This window comes from Homo sapiens, chromosome 16, assembly GCF_000001405.40.
Source record: "Homo sapiens chromosome 16, GRCh38.p14 Primary Assembly".
NCBI classification, from domain to species: domain Eukaryota; kingdom Metazoa; phylum Chordata; class Mammalia; order Primates; family Hominidae; genus Homo; species Homo sapiens.
Genome location: NC_000016.10, coordinates 59808996 through 59816470, shown reverse-complemented (window position 1 = coordinate 59816470; position 7475 = coordinate 59808996). Strand labels below are relative to the sequence as shown.

The following is a 7475-nucleotide window of genomic DNA, read 5'->3' as shown; positions in this document are numbered from 1 at the left end:
AAGATAATTATTGATAGGTAAGGATTTACTGCTGCCCTTTGTTCATTGTTTTCTGGTTAATATGAAGATCTTTTTTTTTTCTTTCTTCCTCTCTTGCTGTCTTCCTTTGTAAGTAGATGATTTTCTTCAGTGGCATATTTTGATTTCTTTTTCTTTATCTTTTATATATCTACTACACATTTTGCTTTGTGATTACCATGAGGCTTACGTAAAATTTACTATAGTTGTTACAGGCTGTCTTAAGGTATTAACAACTTAACATTAACTGCATACAAAAGCTCTACATTTTTATTGCCCAATCATATTTTACATTTTTGATGCCACAATTTGCACCTTTTAATATTGTACATCCCTAAACAAATTATTATAGCTATAGATATTTTTTAATAATTTTGACGGTCAACTTTTATAACAAATTTATAAGTGATTTATATACCACCATTAGAGTATTAGAATATTTTGAATTTTAATATGTACTTACTTTTACTACAGTTTTATACTTTTTTTTCTTTTCCTTTTCCTTTTTCTTTTTTTTTTTTTTTTTTTTTTTGAGATGGAGTTTTGCTCTTGTGCCCAGGCAGGAGGGCAATAGCGTGATCTCAGCTCACCACAACCTCTGCCTCCTGGGTGCAAGTGATTCTCCTGCCTCAGCTTCCCAAGAAGCTGAGATTACAGGCATGAGCCACCATGCCCAGCTAATTTTTTATTGTTTTTAGTAGAGACGGAGTTTCTCTATGTTGGTCAGGCTGGTCTTGAACTCCTGGCCTCAGGTGATCTGCCTGCCTTGGCCTCCCAAAATGCTGGGATTACAGATGTGAGCCACCATGCCCAGCCATGAGTTTTATACTTTCATGTACTTTTATGTTGCAAATTATCGTCCTTTACTTTAAACTGGAAGAACTCCTTTTAGCATTTCATTTTTTTTTTTTTTGAGGTTTTGAATCCATTTTTTGGTATGCGAAAGTATTTTTTTTTTTGTAGATACTTTAAGTTCCAGGGTACATGTGCACAACATGCAGGTTTGTTACATAGGTATACATGTGCCATGTTGGTTTTCTGCACCAATTAACTCATAATTTACATTAGGTATTTCTCCTAATGCTATCCCTCCTCCTGGCCCCCACCCCATGACAGGCCCCAGTGTGTGATGTTCCCCGCCCTGTGTCCAAGTATTCTCATTGTTCAAATCCCACCTATGAGTGAGAATATTCAGTGTTTGGTTTTCTGTCCTTGTGGCAGTTTGCTCAGAATGATGGTTTCCAGCTTCTCCATGTTACTGCAAAGGACATGAACTCATCCTTTTTTATGGCTGCATAGTATTCTATGTTGTATATGTGCCACATTTTCTTAATCCAGTCTATCATTGATGGACATTTGGGTTGGTTCCACGTCTTTTCTATTGTGAATAGTGCCACAATAAACATACATGTGCATGTGTCTTTATAGTAGCATGATTTATAATCCTTTGGGTATATACCCAGTAATGGGATCACTGGGTCATATGATATTTCTAGTTCTAGATCCTTGAGGAATAGCCACACTGTCTTCCACAATGGTTGAACTAGTTTACAGTCCCACCAACAGTGTAAAGGCGTTCCTATTTCTCCACATCCTCTCCAGCATCTGTTGTTTCCTGACTTTTTAATGATCGTCATTCTAACTGGTATGAGATGGTATTTCACTGTGGTTTGATTTGCATTTCTCTGATGACCAGTGATGATGAGCATTTTTTCATGTGTCTGTTAGCTGCATAAATGTCTTCTTTTGAGAAGTGTCTGTTCATATCCTTTGCCCACTTTTTGATGGGGTTGTTTTTTTCTTGTAAATTTGTTTAAGTTCTTTGTAGATCTTGGATATTAGCCCTTTGCCAGATGGGTAGATTGCAAAAATTTTCTCCCATTTTGTAGGTTGCCTGTTCACTCTGATGGTAGTTTCTTTTGCTGTGCAGAAGCTCTTTAATTAGATCCCATTTGTCAATTTTGGCTTTTGTTGCCATTGCTTTTGATGTTTTAGACAAGAAGTCCTTGCCCATGCCTATGTCTGAATGGTATTGCCTAGGTTTTCTTCTGGGGGTTTTATGGTTTTAGGCCTAACATTTAAGTCTTTAATCCATCTTGAATTAATTTTTGTATAAGATGTAAGGAAGAGATCTAGTTTCGGCTTTCTACATATGGCTAGCTAGTTTTCACAGCACCATTTATTAAATAGGGAATCCTTTCCCTATTTCTTGTTTTTGTCAGGTTTGTCAAAGATCAGATGGTTTTAGATGTGTGGTGTTATTTCTGAGGCCTCTGTTCTGTTCCATTGGTCTGTATCTCTGTTGTAGATATGCAGTGTTATTTCTGAGGGCTCTGTTCTGTTCCATTGATCTATATCTCTGTTTTGGTACTAGTACCATGCTGTTTTGGTTACTGTAGCCTTGTAGTATAGTTTGAAGTCAGGTAGCATGATGCCGCCAGCTTCGTTCTTTTTGCTTAGGATTGTCTTGGCAATGTGGGCTCTTTTTTGCTTCCATATGAAGTTTAAAGTAGTTTTTTCCAACTCTGTGAAGAAAGTCATTGGTAGCTTGATGGGGATGGCATTGAATCTATAAATTACCTTGGGCAGTATGGCCATTTTCACAATATTGATTCTTCCTATCCATGAGCATGGAGTGTTCTTCCATTTGATTGTGTCCTCTTTTATTTCCTTGAGCAGTGGTTTGTAGTTCTCCTAGAAGAGGTTCTTCAAATCCCTTGTAAGTTGGATTCCTAGGTATTTTATTCTCTTTGTAGCAATTGTGAATGGGAGTTCACTCATGATTCGGCTCTCTGTTTGTCTGTTATTGGTGTATAGGAATGCTTGTGATTTTTACACATTGATTTTTTATCCTGACACTTTGCCGAGATTGCTTATCAGCTTAAGGAGATTTTGAGCTGAGACAATGGGGTTTTCTAAATATACAATCATGTCATCTGCAAACAGGGACAATTTGACTTCCTCTTCTCCTAACTGAGTACCCTTTATTTCTTTCTCTTGCCTGATTGCCCTGGCCAGAATGTCCAGCACTATGTTGAATAGGAGTGGTGAGAGAGGGCATCCCTGTCTTGTGTCAGTTTTCAAGGGGAATGCTTCCAATTTTTGCCCATTCAGTATGATATAGACTGTAGGTTTGTCATAAATAGCTCTTATTAATTTCAGATATGTTCCCTCAATATCTAGTTTATTGAGAGTTTTTAGCATGAAGGGCTGTTGAATTCTGTCGAAGTCCTTTTCTGCATCTATTGAGTTAATCATGTGGTTTTTGTCGTTGGTTCTGTTTATATGATGGATTATGTCTATTGATTTGCATATGTTGAACCAGCCTTGCATCCCAGGGATGAGTCCGACTTAATCATGGTGGATAAGCTTTTTGATGTGCTGCTGGATTTGGTGTGCCAGTATTTTATTGAGGAATTTCGCATCGATGTTCATCAGGGATATTGGTCTAAAATTCTCTTTTTTTGTTGTGTCTCTGTCAGGCTTTGGTATCACGATGATGCTGGCCTCATAAAATGAGTTAGGGAGGATTCCCTCTTTTTCTGTTGATTGGAATAGTTTCAGAAGGAATGGTACCAGCTCCTTTTGATACCTCTGGTAGAATTAGGCTGTGAATCCGTCGGGTCCTGGACTTTTTTTGGTTGGTAGACTATTAATTATTGCCTCAATTTCAGAGCCTGTTATTGGTCTATTCAGAGATTCAACTTTTCCTCATTTAGTCTTGGGAAGGTGTACGTGTCCAGGAATTTATCCATTTCTTCTAGATTTTCTAGTTTATTTGCATAGAGGTGTTTATAGTATTCTCTGATGGTAGTTTGTAGTCCTGTGAGATTGGTGGCGATATCTGCTTTATCATTTTTTATTGCGTCTATTTGTTTCTTCTCTCTTTTCTTCATTAGTCTTGCAAGCAGTCTATTAATTTTGTTGATCTTTTCAAAAAACCAGCTCCTGGATCCATTGATTTTTTGAAGGGTTTTTTGTGTCTCTATCTCCTTCAGTTCTGCTCTGATCTTATTTATTTCTTGCCTTCTGCTAGCTTTTGAATTTGTTTGCTCTTGCTTCTCTAGTTCTTTTAATTGTGATGTTAGGGTGTCGATTTTAGATCTTTCCTGCTTTCTCTTGTGGGCATTTAGTGCTATAAATTCCCCTCTACACACTGCTTTAAATGTGTCCCAGAGATTCTGGTATGCTGTGTCTTTGTCCTCATTAGTTTCAAAGAATATTTTTATTTCTGCCTTCATTTCATTATTTACCCAGCAGTCACTCAGGAGCAGGTTGTTCAGTTTCCATGTAGTTGTGCGGTTTTGAGTGAGTTTCTTATTCCTGAGTTCTAATTTGATTGCACTGTGGTCTGAGAGACAGTTTGTTGTGATTTGTATTCTTTTACATTTGCTGAGGAGTGCTTTACTTCCAACTATGTGGTCAATTTTGGAATAAGTGCAGTGTGGTGCTGAGAAGAATGTATATTCTGTTGATTTAGGGTGGAGGATGTCTATTAGATCTGCTTGGTGCAGACCTGAGTTCAATTCCTGGATATCATTGTTAACCTTCTGTCTCATTGATCTGTCTAATATTGACAGTGGGGTGTTAAAGTCTCCCATTATTATTGTGTGGGGGTCTAAGTCTCTTTGTAGATCTCTAAGGACTTGCTTTATGAATCTGGGTGCTCCTGTATTGGGTGCATATATATATTAGGATAGTTAGCTCTTCTTGTTGAATTGATCCCTTTACCATTATGTGATGACCTTCTTTGTCTCTTTTGATCTTTGTGGGTTTAATGTCTGTTTTATCAGAGACTAGGATTGCAACTCCTGCTTTTTTTTTTTTCTTTTGTTTTCCATTTACTTGGTAGATCTTCCTCCAACCCTTTATTTTGAGCCTTTGTGTGTCTCTGCAAGTGAGATGGGCCTCCTGAATACAGCAAAGGATGGTTCTTGACTCTTTATCCAATTTGCCAGTCTGTTTCTTTTAACTGGGGCATTTAGCCCATTTACATTTAAGTTTAATATTGTTATGTGTGAATTTGATCCTGTCATTATGATGTTAGCTGGTTATTTTGCCCATTAGTTGATGTTGTTTCTTCCTAGCATCAATGGTCTTTACAATTTGGCATGTTTTTGCAGTAGCTGGTACCAGTTGTTCCTTTCCATGTTTAGTGCTTCCTTCAGGAGCTCTTGTAAGGCAGGCCTGGTGGTGACAAGATATCTCAGCATTTGTTTGTCTGTAACAGATTTTATTTCTCCTTCACTTATGAAGCTTAGTTTGGCTGGATATGAAATTCAGGGTTGAAAATGCTTTTCTTTAAGAATGTTGAATATTGGCCCCCACTCTCTTCGGGCTTCTAGTTTCTGGCGAGAGATCCGCTGTTAGTCTGATGGGCTTCCCTTTGTGGGTACTCCGACCTTTCTCTCTGGCTGCCCTTAACATTTTTTCCTTCATTTCAATCTTGGTGAATCTGACAATTATGTGTCTTGGAGTTGCTCTTCTCGAGGAGTATCTTTGTGGTGTTCTCTGTATTTCCTGAATTTGAACATTGGCCTGCCTTGCTAGATTGGGGAAGTTCTCCTGGATAATATCCTGAAGAGTGTTTTCCGACTTGGTTCCATTCTCCCCATCACTTTCAGGTACAACAATCAAACGTAGATTTGGTCTTTTCACATAGTCCCATATTTCTTGGAGGCTTTGTTTGTTTCTTTTTACTCTTTTTTCTCTAATCTTCTCTTCTTGCTCCATTTCATTAATTTGATCTTCAATCACTGATACCCTTTCTTTCACTTGATCAAAATGGCTATTGAAGCTTGCGCATGTGTCACATAGTTCTCGTGCCATGGTTTTCAGCTCCATCAGGTCATTTAAGGTCTTCTCTACACTGTTTATTCTAGTTAGCCATTCATCTAATCTTTTTTTTAAGGTTTTTAGCTTCCTTGCAATGGGTTTGAACATCTTCCTTTAGCCCGGAGAAGTTTGTTATTACTGACCTTCTGAAGCCTACTTCTGTCAGCTCTTCAAAGTCATTCTCCATCCAGCATTGTTCTGTTGCTGGCAAGGAGCTGTGATCCTTTGGAGGAGAAGAGGCTCTCTGGATTTTTAGAATTTTCAGCTTTTCTGGTCTGGTTTCTCCCCATCTTTGTGATTTTTTTCTACCTTTGGTCTTTGATCTTGGTGACCTACAGATGGGGTTTTGGTGTGGATGTCCTTTTTGCTGATGTTGATGCTATTCCTTTCTGTTTGTTAGTTTTCCTTCTAACAGTCAGGCCTGTTGGAGTTTGCTGGAGGTCCACTCCAGACTCTGTTTGCCTGAGTATCACCAGTGGAGGCTGTGCTGCAGAACAGCAAATATTGCTGCCTGATCCTTCCTCTGGAAGCTTCGTCTCAGAGGGGCACCCATCTGTATGGGGTGTCAGTTGGCCCCTACTGGGAGGTGTCTTTCAGTTAGACTACACGGGGATCAGGGACCCACTTAAGAAGGCAGTCTGTCCATTCTCAGAGCTCAGACACTGTGCTGGAAGAACCACTGCTCTCTTCAGAGCTGTCAGACAGGGACATTTAAGTCTGCAGAAGTTTCTTCTCCCTTTTGTTCACTTATGCCATGCCCCCACATGTGGAGACTACAGAGGCAGCAGGCCTTGTTGAGCTGCGGTGGGCTCCACCCAGTTTGAGCTTCCCTGGCTGCTTTGTTTACCTACTCAAGCCTCAGCAATGGCGGACACCCCTCCCCCTGCCAGGCTGCTGCCTCGCAGGTCGATCTCAGACTGCTGCGCTAGCAGTGAGCAAGGCTCCATGGGCGGGGGACCTGCCAAGCCAGGCGTAGGATATAATCTATTGGTGTGCCGTTTGCTAAGACCACTGGAAAAGTACAATATTTGGGCGGAAGTGTCCCATTTTTCCAGGTACAATCTGTCACAGCTTCCCTTGGCTAGGAAAGGGAAATCCCCTGACCCCTTGCGCTTCCCGGATGAGGCAATGCCCTATCCTGCTTCAGCTCACCCTCCATGGGCTGCACCAACCGTCCAACCAGTCCCAGTGAGACGAACCAGGTACCTCAGTTGGAAATGCAGAAATCACTCATCTTCTGCGTCAGTCACACTGGGAGCTGCAGACCGGAGCTGTTCCCATTTGGCCAACTTGGAACGGAATCCCTGCATTTCTTATAAGGTAGATCTAGTGGTGATGAACTCCCTCAGCTTTTGCTTGTCTGGGAATGTTGTTATTTTCCTTTCTTTCTTAAGGACAGTTTTGCTACATAAAATATTTTTATTTTGCAAGTTTTTTTTTCTTTCATCCAATTGAATATATTATCATTTTCTCCTGGCCTGCAAATTTTCTGCTGAGATTCACTGATAGCTTTATGGGTGTTCCCTGGTATGGGAGGACATTATTTTTTTCTTCTTGCTGCTTTCAGGATTCTTGCTCTATCTTTGATTTTTGATACCTTGATTATAATATGTTTTGGTGTA

General features: G+C 39.8%; 2 annotated features.

Moving 5' to 3' along the window:
* Positions 6207 to 6738: an enhancer, noted in NCBI's record as "H3K4me1 hESC enhancer chr16:59843637-59844168 (GRCh37/hg19 assembly coordinates)". NCBI's record gives its function as "activates a minimal SCP1, AML or CMV promoter by ChIP-STARR-seq in naive H9 embryonic stem cells {active_cell/tissue: H9 hESC(naive)}" and the evidence as "EXISTENCE:reporter gene assay evidence [ECO:0000049][PMID:30033119]".
* Positions 6739 to 7271: an enhancer, noted in NCBI's record as "H3K4me1 hESC enhancer chr16:59843104-59843636 (GRCh37/hg19 assembly coordinates)". NCBI's record gives its function as "activates a minimal SCP1, AML or CMV promoter by ChIP-STARR-seq in naive H9 embryonic stem cells {active_cell/tissue: H9 hESC(naive)}" and the evidence as "EXISTENCE:reporter gene assay evidence [ECO:0000049][PMID:30033119]".